Source organism: Homo sapiens, chromosome 9 (assembly GCF_000001405.40).
Source record: "Homo sapiens chromosome 9, GRCh38.p14 Primary Assembly".
NCBI classification, from domain to species: Eukaryota; Metazoa; Chordata; class Mammalia; order Primates; family Hominidae; genus Homo; species Homo sapiens.
The window spans coordinates 2,052,044-2,073,656 of record NC_000009.12 but is presented as its reverse complement, the minus strand read 5'-3'; the positions used below and the strand labels follow the sequence as shown (position 1 = coordinate 2,073,656).

General features: G+C 38.3%; 1 protein-coding gene across 4 annotated transcripts in view; it reads right to left on the bottom strand.

The window, feature by feature from the left end:
• Nucleotides 1-21,613, bottom strand: part of SMARCA2 (SWI/SNF related BAF chromatin remodeling complex subunit ATPase 2) — a 178,274-nt gene that overhangs the window by 119,964 nt on the left and 36,697 nt on the right. For all 4 annotated transcript variants that reach the window (NM_003070.5, NM_139045.4, NM_001289397.2 and 1 more), the window contains exons 6-12: nt 18,934-19,060; nt 16,812-16,985; nt 15,193-15,366; nt 12,671-12,841; nt 3,186-3,239; nt 315-445; nt 34-91 (exon numbers count right to left, since the gene is read on the bottom strand). In NM_003070.5, the coding sequence (NP_003061.3) occupies nt 34-91; nt 315-445; nt 3,186-3,239; nt 12,671-12,841; nt 15,193-15,366; nt 16,812-16,985; nt 18,934-19,060 (889 nt within the window). The remainder of the gene's footprint in view (nt 1-33; nt 92-314; nt 446-3,185; nt 3,240-12,670; nt 12,842-15,192; nt 15,367-16,811; nt 16,986-18,933; nt 19,061-21,613) is intronic.

Sequence of the window (21,613 nt, the reverse complement as noted above, 5' to 3'; positions counted from 1 at the left end):
ACCAATAAACCCCAAACAGAGATACATACATACCTCTTCCTCATAATCAGAATCACTCTCTTCACTGTCAGATCTAGGGGCAACTTCATAACTAAGGAAAAAGAGTGAGGAAGAGGAGGGGGCTTAGTTTTTTAAATTACAATACAATAAAGACACACATGACTTAATAGCACATTCTATGTATAAAAGACAAATCCAAGTAACAACTTCAACCATCTCAGCAAAGGCTGTGTAGTTTTAGTTTCGAGATCGTACAAGATTACCAAAATCTAAAAAGCTAAAAGAACACCATGAACGCTGCTTTCATGCCTTACCCAGGATTCATTTCCAGCCAGGCGTCCAGCTGACTTGCTTTGGGTGCTTCTGGTCCGAACAGAACCTTGCCGGTTTCTGTGTGAGTCACTTTGACAGGGAGGTCACTCATCTGGCTGCTCTCATCTATGGGCTACAAAGGAGGGAAAATCATGTCACGGTTTCATGTTAAGACCTTCCCCCAGTCCTGTACTGGACGTTTCTCAGCAGTTTTTGCTGCCCAGCATGTGAAACCTTATTCTGTGTTTGGAAATTTCACTACCTAATGAGTGTTGGTGGGAGGTGAGAGGCTACCTCCCACTAAAGAAACTGAAAATGCTGCCTCCCTGGTAGCTAAGATACAGGCACAAACCTCAGCTCCAGCAACCAGATACATCACCAAGGTTGTGAGTTAAGAGCTAGAAGTGCAAGGGTGTGGAAACCAACAGGTGCACCGGTGCAGGGCAGACCACAGTGGCAACAATGCCAGGAAAGCGGTAATGGCTCTGTCAAACTTCTGCCTGCTCCCAGCCACAGCCTGTCCTCACTAGACCAGTTGTAGAGCATAATATTGGGGATAGCCCTGAGTCAGGTTCTTCAGAAACCCTGGAGATCTGATGAGTTGCCCAGTATCCTATCAATACATTCCCTTTTTATTTAAATCAGGCAGACTTGATTTTGGTCATTTGTAACTAACAATCCCCATTCCTCAACTAATACTTCCCAGATAACAACTATTGCAAAGTCATGGTTTCAGAGAGAATGAAAAACAGAAAAGGTATTATAACTTATGTCATCTCATGAGTGGCTGGTTTGGTCTCTGCAGAACCGGTGTCCTTTTTCCAAAACTAACCCCCCAGGGGTCTAACCCAACTATTGGTATCTTTGAGTGTGACAAAGAAAAAAGCTCTGCTCCTCTGAAATCTGGCAAATTGACCAAAAATTAAGCTAAAGTTCATTACTAGACTACTATATCCAAGGAACACAAGAATCACACTTGAATATAATCAGTAACGAATGACTGCTCCTGATTGCAGGGTGATCTGTACTTCTAAGAACAGATCCCTAAGTAAAATGTTTGTTTGGAAATGCTTGGTCTGTGAGTGGTTCAAGTTATCTATTTCCTGAAAAGTGATAAAATTGAATTTTTAGACAATTCATGAATTCCAAAATTTTTGCTAGATTCCTTTCAATTGGAATTAAGCAGAAATGATAGGATAACCTACAGTATGCTATCGTTTATCTTCTATATCTTACAGGAGATGACCAAAAAACAAAACAAAATGAAAAACACATACCCAATGGTTCTTTCCCCTTACACCCTCAACAAAGCACTGTCAGCACAAGAAACAATATATTAGCAATTATCCACAAAAATAACCTTAAAAAGAGAAAAGGCTTACTCCAGATTGTCGTTTTTTTCTTTTGTGTGTGCTAAAGCAATGGTTTTGAACATCATTACTTTGCATGCCAACATGACACTTCTTCCTCATTAATGTAAAAGGTCATCTATATACTCAAGAGATAAAGAAGGAAATCTACAATTTGCTATCATTTCCCTTGGAAAAATCATATTCTGTTATCATGAACCATTATAATACAGCTTGTTTTCGTGCTAATGTCATGCCTCTAAGAAAACTGGAAATCACTGTAGATGGAATTAGAACCTTGGCAAAAGCGCTGAATGAGAACAGAAGAACATTATTTCAAAATAGAGCAAGATGTCCACGTTGCAATCCTTAGCAAACAGGACACGTGTGTTAAGATTAAAAGAAAAAAAAGATGTATGTCACAAGTCCAAGATCAGTAGCTAATTTTCCCAACAGATAATAAGATATAAGAACACTATTACGCTAACATGTTAAATCTCTCCCTGTGTGCTTGTTAATTATAGACCAATGGGAGGCATTCTTAGGTAAGGCTGGGCTTTTGCAAATTAGAGTTGTTTCTAAGTGCTCTAATATATAGTATTCTTAACCAGTAACAGCCCACGGAGTTTCTCACACATCAGATATTTATCCTGATCCTTTCTTTCCTTGTGATAGATTATAGTGGTTAAGTAACATTTATTGTTCAAGAGGTTTCTGCATAGAATAGTGGTTCAATCTTTTTTTTCTGCATCTCCACTGTTTTGAGTTCACAATACAACTGTGTGCAGAGTGATACCAGAATGGGAAGTGGCAACCTCCCACCCACTCTGATCCTCCAAGTAGGTTTATCAGAATTTATGAGACAAAATGAAGATAATTTGAAACAAACTCCCTTCCCATCCTGCTCTGGGAGTGTGCCTCCTCACTGTGAATCGCTGGCAGGGAACCTTAAATTCTTCAGAAAAAAATCCAATAAATTAATTGTATCCTCATAATTCAGGAGAATACTGGAACTACTAGGAAATGAATTTTAGGACTAGGCTGATGAACATACACATAGAAGCTATATGGCAAGCCCATTAAAAATTTCAAAAATAAGTTAACCAAATATGTGACTTCTTTAGTTTATGTATTTTTATAATTTCAAATTAATAATAAACTAGAGAAACTGTGTCATATTTTATGCTTCTGTATCATTTATTGGGCAATATAATTATAGAATCATTTAAGATTCTTACACATCCTATATATTTGTAAACATACGATTATATGTGCACAGAAAATTCTGAAATACTATGCAAGACATTTAATATCAGTTGATTGACAGTCTGACATGTAAGTAGATTATTTTTCACTGTATCCCTTTTGTATCATTCTAATTTTCTACTATGCTAATGTATTACTATTTTTACTTAAAATAAATAGCACAGTAAGAATAAAATAGTATGCATGAAGAATGGTGCTGCCAGGTATGGCACAGACTCCATTCAGCAGAACACAGTGGAAAGGATGACGATCCCTTACCTCTCCATCCGGTCCCAGGGCAGACTCCCCACCCTCTGCATTCTCCTCAGCCTTCTGCAAAACAACAATGTCGAATGTTATAAGTAACCAAGATGATGGGGTACAGGACTTCCTGGTAACTCTCCGGTATGTAATAGGATTTCATTGTTACCCCATTATTATCTAACACAGCTTAAGTGTTAATGCCTTTTATGTTCATTTGTCTTTGCTGAGACAAAACATGTATTTTATTAGCAACTTGTAGAGAGTCACTTAAAGTCAGATGTGATCTGAGGCCAGCACACTAGAGATTTGTAGATTGTGTCTTCAGGGACCCAAAGAGCTTAAGACAGGGCAGTATCAAGACAGTGGTCAGAATCTGAAATGTTCTTCTCGTGTTTGGGAGTGGGAAGATATATCCTGACATAATTAGCTCAACTTTCCTATCCCCTAAGCAAGTTTTCTTCAGCAATGAAGAACAACATTCTAAAACTGTCCATCAAGAATAAGCTCTGATGGCAACAATAGACACTGGGGACTACTGGGGGGGAAGGAGGGAGTGGGGCAAGAGCTGAAAAACTAATTATTGGGTACGATGATCTCCACCTGGGTGACAGGATCAACTGTAACACAAACCTCAGCATCATGCAATATACCCAGGTAATAAACTTGCACATGTATCCCCTGAATCTAAAATAAAAGTTGAAATAATAAAAATCAAATTGCACCCTCAAAAAAAAGAATAAGCTATGACCCACTCCATGGGCATAAAAACATAATATAAAACTTTATGAGTTCCCTGGATGTTTTTAATTCCACCTAAATTTCTTTCATAACATATAGTATTTCTACCATGTGTAAATGGGAAAATTTTATGCAGATATTGTTATCTGATGAAGAATTCTGTTATCTACCATTTCTTTTTTTTTTTTTTGAGACAGAGTCTTGCTCTGTCGCCCAGGCTGGAGTGCGGTGGCCCGATCTCGGCTCACTGCAAGCTCCGCCTCCCGTGTTCACGCCATTCTCCTGCCTCAGCCTCCCAAGTAGCTGGGACTACAGGCGACCGCCACCACGCCCGGCTAATTTTTTTGTATTTTTTTAGTGGAGACGGGGTTTCACCGTGTTAGCCACGATGGTCTCAATCTCCTGACCTCGTGATCCGCCTGCCTCGGCCTCCCAGCCTATCTACCATTTCTTACATATCCCAATATCTTAGTCCATTAACTTCTATGTGCCTCAAAAACAACCTAAATGAAAAGTTAAGATTATGTCATATCGGCCGGGTGCGGTGGCTCAGGCCTGTAATCCCAGCACTTTGAGAGGCCGAGGCGGGCAGATCACAAGGTCAGGAGATCGAGACCATCCTGGCTAACACGGTGAAACCCTGTCTCTACTAAAAACACAAAAAATTAGCCGGGTGTTGTGGTGGGTACCTGTAGTCCCAGCTACTCAGGAGGCTGAGGCAGGAGAATGGCGTGAACCCAGGAGGCAGAGCTTGCAGTGAGCCGAGATGGTGCCAGTGCACTCCAGCCTGGGTGACAGAGAGAGACTGTGTCTCAAAAAAAAAAACAAAAGGTTATGTCATATCTTGTACATATCCAAGAAAGTCTCATCTGTAATATACGCAAAATAATCTAAAATTTCTTCCACTTACGATAACCTCTCTGACAAGTGAAATCTTTAAAATCACCTCTACAGAATCACTATTTTAAAGTTACTGCTGGAAAGCTATACTATTTCTGCATAGTATAATGAGAGAAAAAAAAAAAACTTTAGTCATTTCCTTTGCCAAGATGCTTGAGAAAATGAGCTTTCCTCCCTTGGGCTCTTTAGTTAATTAAAAATAAAAAATGACGATACAGAATCAATATGAACTCAACTTTGTTTACTTAAGATATTGATTATATAATACGTTTTGCCTTCTATGAAAATAACTCAACTGTCTTTTGACAAAATAGCTTTTACGAAAACACTTAAAGTTTAAAATCAGCCTTTTAGTCATAGTGAAGAAAGGCAGTTCCATCAACATTTGAAATTTCTGAAGTTCCTTTACAATGCAATTTTTACCAAAAATACATGTATGTATGTATGCCAAAGCACAAGGCATAAAAAAAAATGCAGCTTCCACCAAACAGTAGGAAATAAAATGCTCCCTTTGGTTATGATTTTCCAAGTAATTAAATTTCTATTTATGTCACCTCAGAGCAAAAACATTTATAAGCTCAAAAGAAATGATCAGCTTCAAAGAGCATCAGGCTCTACATCTAAGCTAGTGACACAGAGAACAATAACAGAACCCTTGAATTCAAAAAAGAAACCATCCCTGCTACCAGTCACTGAAGGTTCCATTTTTGGAGTTCTCAGAATCTATACTCAGGGGACTGTTTTAATTAATGGGGGAAAGTCAATTAATCCCACCATTCTTTCCATACAAATCAGAAATAAGCTACAAATTTGGCCAACAAAGAAAATCAAATGAGACAATGAATAAGCCAATTTCAAATATCTAGCAAGTGGAATTGGATCACCACTTCAATGAATAGTACATTAAAAAGCTTGAAGCATCATATATTAATATAATCAAAACTATTCTGAAGGATACTTTCCTATGAATGTCCTATAGACTAGCTAGATTGTTATCTAAAAACTGCCTCACAGTCAGGCCCTTCCATTACTTAAAATCCCCAAAACTATTTTTTAAAGTTCTATTAGGTATCAAATCTGAGAGACAGAGTAATATTAGATTTAAGACATTTGGTTCTGCAATTAGACAAACTGTGTTTCAATCTTAGCTCTCTGTAATTAAGTGCAAGAGATCTTAGCTGTATGATCTTGAGCAAATCATTTTCTCTTGTGTCTTAGTTCCCTCTTGCATAAAATAGGAACGGTAACAAACAGTGCCTGCTTCCTAGGGCTTCTGCAGGACTGGGTCACTATTTCGACATGTACAATCCAGTGTCACAAGTAATATATATGCTGCCAGCCTCAATCTCCACATTGTACAAGGGTCAACGATAGTCCGAGGACTATTCTTTTATGTCTATAATTAAGACTGGCTGTCGCATTTCCTGAAAACTGCTTCATAAGGCTATGAGGTCAGGGATTTCTGTCTGTTTTGTTCACTGGTGCATTCCCACACCTACAAGGGCATCAGGCACTTAAAAGGCGCTAAATAAATATTTGGTGATTGAAGGAATGAATGAAAGCACAAAGAACAATGCTTTCCACTTAGCATATGCTCATTAAATTATTACTATCATAAATAGATGCCAATACATTTGCAAGTCATAAAATAGTTAAAAGCACGCACACAATTAGCCATTGAATTGGTGCTCTGTGTGACTTTCCTCGCAAGCATGCCCTGTCCTTGGACCTAATTCTGCCATGTTATTCTAAGAGATAGAGGCCAGGTGGCAGTCTACTCTATGACAAGAGATATCAACTCCTCCCATCATTCTTTGGATTCCTTCAGTTTGATGACATTGCTGGTTGGTGCGCACATGTACTCACATCAACTTCATGCTGTGTCTCAAAACTTAAAAAAACAAAGCAAAACAAACACAACTGTCCCTTTTTCTTGGTTCAAAATTAACACCCAAGAGTTTGTGATTGGTCTACTGTTTGAGCTGACTTCGGACAGTCTCTAAGCACCTAAAGAAATGTCCTGGTGTGAATGCAGCAGCTGCTACAGCGTCTCCTGCCACCTGAGAAATTTTCATATGTAGTTATCTGCATCGTTTAATTGCAGACACATGCTATCAATATTAAGGGCTGATGCCTGCACTTATTTCCATTGATTGAAAACAAAACAAAACACTGAACAAGAAACTTTGTACTGGCTTCTTCCTACATGCAAAAGAGTTTAGAACTAATTATGCTTATGTAGGAAGGGAGGAGTATAATTAACCTAATCATGTAAGGGGACATGATAGGAATTATTCATAACTAAAGATTACTCATAACTAAAAATTACTCAAACTAAAGACAGTGTGTGTTCCCAATTTCCAAGGCCAACGTCAATTCATATCTTCCATTTAGCAATGTTCACAAGCAAAGGTATGTGCATGGCTACCCATCTTCCTTGCAGAAGGTATAAAAAGTAATCAACAACAGGGCTGAGGAGGGAAAGAAATCTCTAAATATGAAAATCCCGTGTAAGCTGAACTCAAAAGAAGACTTCAGTAGGCCATTTTATTTAGATTACTTTAACATAGGCTATAAACAGCCTCATTACATAAAGTTTTAAATCAAATATTTTACAATCTATATTATAAACTGAATGTACTTTATCCCCCAGTGGGTGTTATTATAATATACTGAAACAACATTCAAATGTGCTGGTATCTGAAGTATCCATTCTGTTTTGCTGGAAACCTAAGCTTTCAAAAACCACTTGAGTTATTTTTACTGTCATTTAAGGGGACCTTTGAGCATTAAGATAGGTAATCGGGTAATTTTAAAAAATGCCCAGGGATATGAAATTAGCAGGCATTTGCAAATTACTTGGGTTGTTTCTTATAGAGAAAATCAATTCAAACATTTTGACTCAAGTAACTGGTCAATCCAGTTAAACAGGACTTTTCTCGAAACTTCTGGTCTCCCCCATTTTGACACTCAACTAATCAAATAAATCTAATCACTGTGGCATTGTGTTCGCCTATCCTTACAATAGTTCCTACACTCAAATGTCCAGAATTACATTAGAACCTTTCTTTCATCTATGAAAATCCTGTAGAGGAAAGCTGTAATAAAGTATATAATCTTTGGGGAAACTGTAAGAGATTAAAAAAAATGAGAAGAATCAGGGAGTAGCTTGTATTTAAAATAAATGTCTCAATATTACTGCTTTGCTTTTCAAGCTCTTTTTACTGAAAACTGTGCCAACGGCAGGCTATTCTGACATTCTGGTATCTAAACAGGATAAAAACACATTTCCTACCACTATGTTGGCCAATACATTATGCCAGGAAGGTTCAACCTGCAAAATATCACAGTCCTGAGATTTACTTATAATAGCGGTTGGTAAGGAGAAAGAGAGAGAGAGAGAGACAGGATAAAAGAACTTTCAGAAAGAAAATCGAACACTCCAATGAAGACTATATCTGGTCTAGTGTTGCCTCAGAGATTCTGAGTATGTGCCCATTAGTATCATATGTTTCCAAAAAATGTCACAAATAAATAACACAAGAATAGTTCTGCTGGTATACATCCCACTGAAAGATGTGGAAGGGAGAATTAAATATTTAGTTTTGGCTGATGTCAACGGCTCTGGAAACTGAACCTCTGAAATGGCTAGACTTTTTTTTTTGAGACAGAGTCTCGCTCTGTCGCCCAGGCTGGAGTGCAGTGGCGCCGTCTCGGCTCACTGCAACCTCTGCCTCCTGGGTTCACACCATTCTCTCACCTCAGCCTCCTGAGTAGCTGGGACTACAGGTGCCTGCCACCACGCCCGGCTAATTTTTTGTATTTTTTAGTAGAGATGGGGTTTCAACATGTTAGCCAGGATGGTCTCGATCTCCTGACTTCGTGATCCGCCCGCCTCGGCCTCCCAAAGTGCTGGGATTACAGGCGTGAGCCGCCGCACCCAGCTGATGGCTAAACTTTTAAGCAATAGGCAGGGCTGCTCCTGGTATGGGCTCCTAACCACAGCTTAAGGAAAAATGTACCCTAAAGTACTGTGAGAGATGCCTCATAATCGCCAGGAACCCTAGTAAAGTAGAGGCCATGTAATTAGAAAATTCTCTTTGTAGGAGTTGGGGGAACAGGGTGGTAGGCAGAGTTTATCACCTGTGATAAAGCCTCATTTTTCTTCTGCATGCCTCAGTATTTAAAGAATCTGTCACTGTCCTCAAAGATATCCTACACACTAATATTCAACTGATTTCCAACTAGAAAAAAAGTGGTGACCAATTATTATTGATTCAACATCACAAAGAATATGCAGTAAAGGTTTAAAAAGACATTTGTTTTCAGAAAAACATAACCGTATTATAATTATGATTCCACTTTCGTATCATAGAATTGCTTGATGAAATAATGTTTACTGAGCACTTACTATATGTTAGGGTGTATTCTACATGCTTTAGATAAACTTTCCCGTGTAATCCTCACTACAAATCTATGGGGTAGACAACATTCCTATTGCCTTCTTACAGATCATGAGACTGAAGCACTATGGTAATAGATCTTTTAACGAACTAGCCTACAAGAGAATAATAGCAAATTAGTATAAATATTTTCTCATGTAGTTTTGATTTTAAAAGATTACCTGCTAACACGACTCAGACAGTGGTCCAATTTTCTAATTCAGCCATGTTCAATCCTAGTTCTACAGGCCCTGGTGGCTTGATCTAGCCCCATTCTCTTTTGTACCCTGTAGGAAACCTCAAGGTCACGCTAAACGCACATAATAGCACATTCATCTTGTAACATCAAAGAAATTAGTTTCGTATAACTAGGTTTTCAATACTTTAAAAATTATTCCTCCTCTGACACTTAAGGAGATACATGTAGTTCACTTCTTCTTCTTCCATTTCAAGGGCTTTAATGGAAGACCAGGCTGAAAATGAGAAGTTACAAAATGATTTATAAATGTGTACTTCCTAAAAATGTCTGTAATGATGAGAAAATTAAACAAGGTCATAACATGTTAAAGGAAACCTACCCTATTATTCACGAGCAACAAGTCAACACAATAAACTCCCAAAGAAAGACAGAGGCCTCTGTCCTTCTAGGGAATTAAAAAAAAAAAATTGTACACTAGTTTAACGCTGAAAATAAAAGGTAATCTTTTTCAGATTAAATTAAGTGAAAAAGTCAACCATATTCATCTTTAATAGCACATTTCTTAGAGTAATCAGTAGCTTAGTTGTCCTTCAAGTGTTGCTACCAGCTCAGTGCTATTAACTACTAGCTCACTGAGTAAAGTAGGTTTTCTCAAAACAAAGGTTTATTGAAGTATTTGTTAATTTAAAAAATATTGATAGGTACAGCATAATACTTAATACTATGGAAAAGTGCTAAAAAGGATAGCAGAGATTTTTATGCTCATAGACACAGAAGTTTTCCTCCACTACAGAGAAGCTAGAAGAAGCAACTCCCAATCATTCACTGCAATGGAGGGAAGAAGAACTACAGATAATCCAAAGTGTCAAATCAGCTTCTTAAAGCATCCCCTTCCTTTGCACTTGAATAAAAGTGCATCTGGAACTGGATAATTCGCTCTGAACTAAGTCTTAAAGCCCCGCAAAAGAGACAGGTACCAGGAAGGGCTAAGGGCCTCAGTTTCTTTTCTTTTTTTCTTCCCCCTTCTTTGTCCCACTTCTCCCAGTAAGATACCCTGGAAGGAAATAGAGCCCCTCCGACTTAGTCCTGCTGAGGGCACAAATGCTAGGCACCCAAGAGCATGCAAGGAAGGGTAGATGGCTGACCATAAAGTAAAAATTCTGCACATTGATCATGTGAGATAATCAATGGGAGATACTCAAAGATATCTGTAAGGTAGACAGTAGCTGCTTTGACAACTATTACGCGTTTGCCAAGAAATCAGGCCCCACCTCCAACTGGAAACAGTTTCCCTCCACAACATTCATCCCAGCTTGTCATTGTATAGTTGGGTGCATGTTGGATTAATATCTGTCTAGCCTCTCTTTCTCTCCCTGATTAATATCAGTCTAGCCTCTCTTTTTCTCTCTCTGATTAAACTGTGAGAGAAGGCAGGATGCTTTTCCTCACCATTGTACCCCTCCTTCTCCCAGCATTCTAGCACACGACCTAGCTCATAGTAAGTGTTCAGTTAACACATGTTGAGTGCAAGCATAAGACACAAAGAATAAGTGCTATTACCAAATTGAAGGCAAGGGTTTGAAAGGGGCGTGCCAACTTACAGATCATGCAGAATAACACCATGAAAAACAATTGTGACAAGTCCCTGTTCTGTACAGATGAACACAAAAATATAGGCATAATCATCAACACTCAATTGTGTATCTTTCTCTGCCTACGACGATGCAACTATCTAACACCACGGCAGAAATCTATTAATTGTAAGCCATAATCTCAAAACTGGGTCATTAGCTTTTAATCACAAAGAAATGTAAAATACAAAAATTTTAATACTAAAAACACTAACAGTGACAACCTCTGCAGAACACATGGCTGAATTAGGAAAAACTAAAACTGCCATTTAATGGGGTCCACTTACAGAATATTCCAGAATTCCATCTCTCTCTCTGCTATCAATATGTCAGTAATTCCTTTTTAATTTTTAAAAATTTTTTCTGGAAGTCATTAGACATATAAAATGTACCACCTTTACCATTCTTAAGTCTACAGTTCAGTGGTAATAACTACATTTATATGATTTATTTCCCCATCATTCTTCCCTCCCCCCTTACGTATATGTTCCTCACTAACTCTGAAAACATCTTTTTAAGGTAGGAATTGGAGCTGGAGTTTTGCACAGTCTATAATGCTACACTGACAAGAAAATGAGGTATTCCTCACCAACAAAATGTCTAAACACAAGCCCTGAGTCATCTCTCGTTCATCTTCACAATGAGGTAAGCTATCTTATACTAAAGAAATCAGTGCAAGAAGGTGCCTTCTTAATCATTTATTCCTCCTCCTTAATTATGAGACAGGTATGAGGATTCAGGAGCCATGAAATTAATTGTTTTTTGAAAAGCATTTTGTTCACTTATTCAGTATACAGAATGAATGATTAAATGCTACCAATCCTCAACCTTTACAATTCTGACTTCCAGTTGATGTTTGTACCTGGCCTAAACAGAATTTATCATGAACACACAGTATCAACCACTAACTAGACGACTGGATGACTTAAGCTTCAAAGAGGATCATATTCACAGGCCTATCCTCAGCAGGTTACTCTTGAATTGAGATATAATAGCTGCAGAGATTCTAAATCTTACCCTTCATTTCTCATGATAATTAGGAGATATTTCACATAGGACTCTTTTTTTATGTAATTACCTAAAACCCCAATGTGCACACTCACCTCACTGCGACACAGGGACAGCAGAACTGAATGAACAGCTTTGGCACTGCCATCTGTCCAAGTAACTATTGCTTATATCTTCCTCTGGCTTCTTCCAACCTGTACACTGCATTTTCTTCTTAAATTTCATTCTTAATTGAGTAATCCCCTGCCACCCTAGCATTAAACTTAAGCGAACACTTATTTGTGTCTGTTTTTCCTTTCCCAATTGACTGTATGTACTTAATTTAAAATCTTCTATTAAACAATGATTTATGAACAACATTGTTTTAGTTTAGTATATCCCATTATTATGCCCTTACCTCCAATAGTTGTCTAGTGTACCTAATCAACACTTCCATGCCATACCCATTTATGCAATTTTCACAATTCAATCATCTAAACCTTCCACCAGTGTAAGAAGTAGTACTTAAAGAGCAATACTCGCCTTAAAAACTTATCCCTGCCCATACACCCTGGACTCAGCCACCACCACTAGGATACGCACCTTCTTCCTCCTCCTCCTCTTCTTCTTCTCTTTGGCTGCCTGGGCTTGCTTGTGCTCCCAAACCAGATTGGTCAGATTGGCTACATACTCATCGGTCTGCTGCAAAAGGTAAGCTAAACGCCTGTCTTTCTTTTGATCAATCAGTTTTCTATAACCCTCCTCATCTTCAGCCTATTAAGGAAAGAAGAGCAGGATGAGAGCATAATATAAGCGTGCAGACAACTCCACTCTCCACTCTGTCCTCCCCTTGACAGTCTGCATTTTGACTGGTAGGAGTGTAGCAAACTGGATGAGTTGGGCTGTTCAAGCCATTGCACAGAGTCTGAAGTGGGACAAACACACAGAAGTGTGACGCCTACATCCCAGGACACTGGAGTTTACAGCAAAGTCCGGGCACAAAGCCACACTGTACGTGTGGTGTGATTAAGCACTCTGAGCCAAGCTCTTTGTTTTCTGTGTTGCTTTAACTGTACAAAAAGATTTTAGAATTTGACAATTCATGATCTAAACTTTATCTTTAACTCTATATTTTAGACATTTTCAAATATAATCAAAAGCAGAGAGAATAGTTTAATTTCTCCTATAACCAACCCCAAACAACAAAAATTCACTTGTGATGACTCCTGTTTCATTGCTACTCTTCTTCTAAACCCAAACTGAATTGTCTTGAAGCAAATTCCAGACATAATATCCTTTCATTCATAAATATTTCAAAAAGTACTACTAAAGGCAAGGAATCAAATGGGCTTTTAACAAATAATGTCTTATATTTTAAAAAGTCTTTCTTTTTGGCATTACAAACTTTGTGGTTAACAGGAAAGATCAAATTTGGGGGATTTTTTTTTTTTTTTTTTTTTTTTTTTTTTTTGGCCACAGATCTGCACTGAGTAATGGGCCCAGGTGACTGGAGACAAGTCACTTAGCACCTGAAGTCTGGTACTGCTGAGCAATAAAATAGATACAGTAATTCCCACCTCCACCTCCCATTAAGCAACATGATGAGGTTAAACAGAATAAAACTCTGATGTACTCTAAGCCATTTTGAGAGAAATCTCTTTGTGTATCCCAATAAAAGGACACTCCAAATTATTTTTATCATGTAATGCCACGATAAAAGGAGCAAGCTGCAAAATCTTTAAGAGGCAACTCCATTGCAAAAACAAAAACAAAAACTTGGGATCTTTTGTCCAGGGGTGTCACTCTAGCATCTGCCTGAGTGACAGCAGCTTCATCACTCAGTCTAGCTGCCGTCTGCCCTGTGGATGAGCAAGAGCCTCAAATGCTATTATAACTCTAATTGCTTTCGGTTATGGTTGAACTCACTTGAAGAAAGAGTGATAAAAAACTTCAGTTTCTCTATTATCTGTATATTCCATCACTTAATTGCAAAAATTAATGATTTGCAAATGCCTAATCATTAGTGTCAAACCAATCTGTTACTGAAGTTCTAATATAGTTTCACTTCAGTTGAGTCAGACAAATTTGACTGCTTAGTGATCAAATTACTACAAAAACGGTCTAGTCAGAAACCTCTCGGACAGTCCTCTCTCCCTGGTATGGAGAGGGAGGCAGGATAGGGTAGTAAGATGTAGTAGTACCTGCACACAGAGGCTTTTAAAACATGGTGTTTACTCTCTGGAATCCAAAAAATGAAAAAAATGCAAACTGTAATACCAGCCAGGAAGACAGTGTCACTTAGAATTTTCCAGGAACATAATTATGGTCTGAGACTAATGACCTTATCTTCATCTATGCAGGCATTACGTCCTAGATAGAATCTGCAGGTCTCCTATAATTATAACATCACACACACACACGCTTTTCTAAAATCCACAGTGTGCTCTGAGGTCCAATTCCAAAAATAAATGGTCAATAAAAACAAATACTCAGGCCAATGATATAAACCTATCTCTTCTGTGCTTATATGCCCATTAAAAAATAACAGTGCAAATGTAATAATCCATGAATAGCCTTTGACCATAACAAGGCTATCACAAAAAAGGCAACATTTCAAAATCAACTTAAAAATCACTTATTACACTGTTAGAGAATAATTTCTGCCATTAAAAAAGAAAGATAAGCACCAGAGGCTTCAAAACACAGACCTTCTTAGATTTGAAGACACGACTTAATGTGTTATTCATTCCAAAAAACGTGGTCATTCATCTCAAAGAGGCCATATTTTTAAAAGAACTGCATTTGCCATCCTTCCAGATCTGGTTATCAAACTCATGCAAAATACAGTACCTGCTTTTATGAGAGAAGCTGTAATGTGTACCGCGCAATGCCACCCCAGGACACAGAAATACTATACGCATCAGTCATCCCCCTAGATTTTTGGCATGCATTCTCCAGGAAAGAGAAAAAGTTTTTACTTCATCTCCCTAAGGTTCAAAGAAATTTACTAAAATTTTTGATAAGCAGTTTTCATTTTTTCCTTCTACTACCACCATATTTAATGGTCTCATTGCAGACGGACGTGGGTTGAGTAGTTTCCTGGGCTCCTGCAGGGAGTTCCTTACCATCAGTCGCCGCATTCTCTCCTTTTCAATCCGCTCTGTCTCCTTCTTCTGCTCTCTTTCAGTGTTGGCATGCCAAGTTGCCACTGCTTTGGAGAGCTTCTGGATCTTTCCGGCCACAGACCGATGATATTCCTTAAAATCTTTTGCATGTTGCAAAATACTGTTCAGGTATTCCTAGAAGATCCAAAAAGGGAAGAAAAGGATACTTAAAATCCAATGACCAGTGTCCTCTGAGCTATCAGTGTTGTCCAAGAAAACTCTCAGTGTGTGTTTAACAGCATAGGAAGACTAGAATCTGTTTGGGGATAGGTGCCCTGGTGTCTCTGCAGTTAAGGTGTGGGCCATGGGGCTGGTGGGAAAGATAGCCTCTTCGGGTTCCTTTTGTTGTAAGCTTTAGCAAGAGAAGCCTCCTTAGCCTTGAGGGTGTGGCCACATGAGAATGGAAAGATCGAAGACTGAAAGAGACCTACAAAATGGCAATGATAAAATGTAAAGCAAACCACTCATTCACTCCAAAATAAACCTGAGGAACATGAGTATTTCCAGCAAAAAGTATGTCACAAAAGTAATGTTTTTCTGCTCTAACTACCCTAGAGTATGACACAAAATAAGTTTATACAAAGTTAAAATTGCCATGCAGAATTTGTATCCACTTTTTAAATATATACTCTATTTACACTAAAATCCAACATTTTTTCAAAAGGAAACTAAGCTAAGCACTAAATTAAGCACAGGAAAACAAATACAATTTACAGGACTATGACAGGAAATCAAATCCTACATCAAAATATTTCCAAACCCCCAGAAAGGAATGTTTTTAATATTTGCCTCTGTGAAACATTCAACTAGGCCCTTCAGAGAAGCCAGGACACTATTATATTTGTTATGAAAATAACTTTTTGCTTTCTACTTTCCTTTTCCAAGTTCCTGCTCCCAGAATTTTGCTCTAGGAAATCCACCTATGCCCACCCATTCAAAAACTTCCCATGGGATTATGAACATGACACCTGTTATGGACTGAATGTTTGTGTCCTCCCAAAATTTATATATTGAAATGCTAACTCCCAATGTAATGGTATTAGGAGGTGGGGTCTTCGGGAGGTGATAAGGTCATGAGGGTAGAGCCCTTACGAATGGGATTAGTGCCCTTATAAAGGAAGCCCGGAGAGCTTTCTTGGCCTGCTTCCACCACGTAAGAAAACAAGGAGAAGTTAACAGTTTGCAACCCAGAAGAAGACCCTCACCAGAGCCCAGCCATGCTAGTACCCTGATCTCAGGCTTCCAGCCTCCAGAACGGTGAAAAATAAACTTCTGTTGCTCATCAACCACCCAGTTTGTGCTATTTTTTTATAGCAGCCCAGACAAACTAAGACAATACTAAACCTCATTGTGCTGCTAAGCAATTGTATGACCTTGGGCAGTCATTTATACGTCCTGGCTTAAGCGTCTTTGTCTATAAAATGATGTGGTTGGATTATGTACATGTCAAGGAACCGTTCTGTTCTGTGATGTCCCCACCACCCACAAGGGTCCATTTTTCAGTCATTCTGACCCCATTTGATGAATTCATTGGACAGCTCTGCCAAAGTGAGGGTGAGCAAAGCCCAGGGTCTAAGAACCTGGTGTTTCTGACGGCGTTTCCTCTCCTGCTCAATCTTCTGCTGCTTCTCCAGCTTCTCGGTCATGCGAGCTTCTCTCAGAGTCTGGCGCTTGCTCCGTTTGTATGCTTTGGAGTTGAGAGCCGTCTCCAGGGTCGTGTCCCTGCGCATGCAGGCCACCACCTCCTGTCTCAGCTGTCAAGAAGAGAGCAGTTAGACAGCCTTCCCTAACAGAAGCTAGGTTCCTGAACTCTGGCCTTCTCGCGGTTGCATTTAATGGAATAGAGTGGGGCGGGGAATCTCCACAAGCTTCTCAATCACCTTTGGTTTGTATTAAATGAAGGAACTAAAATCATGCCAAATGTATGCAATATTTTCAAGAACGGTACAAGATTTTTCTCCCCAAATAATTCAAATCAAAAGCAATTATAGTACTGTAACAGTAAAAGAAAGAAAAGATGTTGTCTTGCCTTTTAAATAACTTCATTTTCTCTAATTATTCTAATGATACCAATTAGCTAAATAAGCTTTTTAAATTTTCCGCTTTGTTTTAAGTGTCATGTTAACATTCTCTTTGTGTTTAAAGATTAATTTTAATGATGCTCCAAAAAAAGAATAAAAGAATTACTTTCACGTGTGGTAGCAGCAGGTACTCAAACAACGTTAATTCATAGTCTCATACAAAGGATGGGAAATATGAGTTTTGGCTTCTTCCCACTCCAATAATGATCTTCTTTCCAAGAGATCTACATTTTATATTATATCATGAACTTATTTCAGATCACAAATGTAATACTTTTATCTGTATTGCATGTTATGTGGTGGTAGGGGGTAGGGACTGGAGAATACACATTAAATAATCATTCCACTGCATCTGAAATATCATTAGTTACAGTTAATTTAATTAGGAAGCTTCATAAATAACAGATTTTTAAAATAATATCAAACAAAAATCAGAAATCAATAAGAGTCCGTCATGGCAACGCTAATTTGAACATAAACATATTCCGGAAAATATACTTGGTTAATATTCATTTAGTAAGATTTTATCCAGCACTTTATTAATTCATCTTATGAGGTCACCAATAAGAAAGAAGTAAACAGAACTCAGAGAATTTTCCCTTTTCTTTTTAAAATTTAAGCTGAAATCTACTCTCACAAACCAAGAGCCAAGTAGCACCTACCCACCACTAATGTCCATCTGTGAGATTATAGCCGGTAAGGCAAATATACACCCAAATTCCTACCACAATAGCAACTGGAGTGGCCTGTGATTTTAGTCACATCCTCCAACAAACCAAGTCAATACTTCCAAACTACTTTGACTCATTAATTATTCATTTCGCATGTTCCAGACTTTAACAAAACAAACCCATCTGACTAACAATGAAACGTTCCTTATCCCCTTTGGGTTAGTGAGGCAATCTGCGGACTAGCAAACTTGAACCTTTTCAGTCCACAAGGCAAAACTCGCCAAAGTGAAAATTAGCTCTAACTCATTCCACTTGTCTCTTACTAATTTAGAAATCAGAAAATAGGTCATTATACTGGCTTTTAATAACTGCTGTAAACTACAAGAGCAGATAATTTACTGATTAGTCAATACATGAGCCTGATGTGATCAAACACTCCAAACTTAGACATCGGTGAATAAATAAGCTATAAGACATTGCTTTATGTATTTCTATAAATGATGAACCACTAATTCAGTAGCGTGGCTACCATATTTGTTAAAATTATTTTCACAGTCGTGGCAAGCACTTTACATCTGTGCTTACAAAGAAGCTCCAATCCACTACCTTCTGGTTTTTCCTTGGAGTCATAAAAGCAAACATGAGCTACCCCACTTGTTCCCAAGGTTTTTCATCCATGGTAACAAAACGCCATAACTCTGACTTTGTAACCCATAGTACAGGAGGAAAAACTCTTTCCCATATACAGAAGAGAAAACCAGAATAATAAGCAGTTCATCTTCATCATTTTTAGTTGTAAGCTGTTGGTCTAAAAGATTCACTATTTTACTATATTTATATCTTTATATCTTTGTAACAATATTGAATAGACTAAAGGCAACACAGATAACACTTTAGGAACAATTACATTTATTTCCTACATCTCAGATTCACTGGGGAAAATGTATTACCTGACGCTGGAAATTGAGTAACCGAAGTGCTTTTAGTTCCACGGTTGCTTTGGTTCTTAAATCTGGTGGCAAAGAGCCAGGCAGATTTTCCAGTTCTTGTATCCTATGAGCTATGCGGGCCTGAAGTCTAAAGGAAACAATAAAATGGGGAAAAGGGGGCAGGGGAAAAACACATTACAATTTAATCTTAAATGATAAACAATGACATTAGGTTTAAGTCCGGGGCAAAACATATTCCAGATACTGATAGTTGATCTCTAACACCCAACTAGAATTTTTGATGTTAAGCAGAGAAAAGCTACCTTTGCATTAATGCAGACAGGTATATGTTACTTAACAATGTGGCTTCCTCCATAACCTCTATCTAACACTAGGGAAAGAAGGTTCACCCTGCATCTAGTGGGGAAGTCAAATGTCCTTGCTCACTCTTAGCAGAGAGAGAATATAAGAGACAGAACCAATTGACAAGCTTTCTAACTCCCAGCCAGACAGAATGCAGAGCTGAGAGCACAGACTTTTTTCTTCCGAACTTCTAGTTCTGTCCTAAGGCAACCAGACCATTTGTCTTCTTTGCCAAGATGCTGATGACGACAGCCATTAAAGCGCAGTGAGCAAGAACAGTTTTAGGTGCTGATGCCACAGAAATCAGCCAACCCTAAACATTCAGAAAGCGCTCTGCCAGCCACAACCACTTCCTCTGTGAGCAGAGCTTGCTTGAGAAAAGAAAATACAAATGAGGCTGTTTTAAAAAAATCAGGGCCAGCAGTAAATAGTACTCAAAAACCAAGAGTTTCTAGAAAAGGATGTTGAGGATTCTCGTTTTACACACCATCAAAAATATAACTGCATGTACTTCTTCATAATAAAGGCAGAGTAGAAAATAAAAGACCTCTGACTTTAGCCATTCACTTGGGATACTATTACTGTTAGATATATAAACTGCTGGTTTTAGAGTTCACCTGAATCCTATTCTGACAAAATAATTATATGCCATTTAAGACTATTTTTAGAACTACATCCCCTAAATCTGAGGCAAACTGTACTGAACTAGATTTCAACAAAGAAAGAATAATAATAAGTAATAAGTTAAAGTAGGCTAATATTAACAGCACTAAGTGCCTTTAATGTACAATGTTATTTAATTGTCTCTCTCTTACACACACAGACACGCCTCTGTAAGGTAAAAGTTATAATGGTCCCATTTTGCTGATGAGGAAAACTGAAGACACCTGGAGATACCACAGAGCTAGTAAAGAAGGGGGCCAAGATTGGAACCTCAATTTGCCTGATACCAAAACCACTGCAATAAAATGATAGATAATTAAGATACACTTTCCGAGAACCTTCCTGGACCTCAACTATAAAAGCTGAAAATTAAGAATTCTGTTAAAAATTATGCACAGCCATAAAAAAGAACCAAATCATGTCCTTTGCAGCAACATGGATGCAGCTGGAGGCCATTATCCTAAGCAAATTAATGCCGGAACAGAAAACCAAATACCGCATGTTCTCACTTTTAAGTGGCAGCTAAACACTGGGTATTCATGGACATAAAGATGGCAACAATACACACTGGGGACTACTAGACGGGGGAGGGAGGGAGCGCAGGAAGGGATGAAAAACTTTTAGGTACTATGCTCATTAGCTGAATGATGGGATCAACTGCACCCCAAACCTCAGCATCATGCAACATACCCATGTTAAGAAACCTATTCATGAATCCCCTCAATCTAAAATAAAAGTCGAAATTGTCTTAAAAAATGAATATTACAGTTTTTTCCAAACATGATGATGTTGCCAGAGTACAGAGCTGGGAGGACAGACTTTTTTCTTTCTAACTTCTGGTTCTGTCCTAAGGCAACCAGACCATTTGTCTTCCTTGCCAAGATGCTGATGACGACAGCCATCATTTTCATTAACGTGAAAAAGTGAAACCTCCTGGACCTAAATGCTGTAGAAGATCTAATACTTCATATAGCCCAAATATCAAAATGAGTGATTTTTTAAAAAACCTACAGTTGCTTAGTTTGGAAGGGAAATAAAATGTCATCATTTTTAAAAATTTAAAAATGGTGGTAAGGAAAACTATTTTTCAGGGACTTCACTAAAAATAGTATCTAAGACTGATTCTTGTTTTATTTGCTATACGCACGTTATTCGTTCTAATTTATTAAATGATTTGTCATCATAATGTGTTAATATTATCACTGCTACCGTGCTGTCGTTATTGTTTTTTCTTTGTTTGTTTGAGATGGAGTCTCGCTCTGTCGGCCAGGCTGGAGTGCAGTGGCACTATCTCTGCTCACTGCAACCTCCGCCTCCCAGGTTCAAGCGATTCTCCTGCCTCTCAGCCTCCCATGTAGCTGGGGCTATAGGCACGTGCCACCACGCCCAGCTAATTTTTGTATTTTTAGTAGAGACGGGGTTTTGCCATGTTGGCCAGGCTGGTCTCAAACTCCTGACCTCAGGTGATCCGCAGGCATCGGCCTCCCGAAGTGCTGGGATTACAGGCATGAGCCACCATGCCTGGCCCGTGCTATTAACTATGCATACCAACACAAACAATAGCATTTTTAAGTGGTTTAATCATTCAAAAGACTGAAAGTTTTGTATTTCATGCAACAATAATAAACTCATCATTTTACTCTTTTGGCAAAATTGTTCAAATTCTCCCAACTTT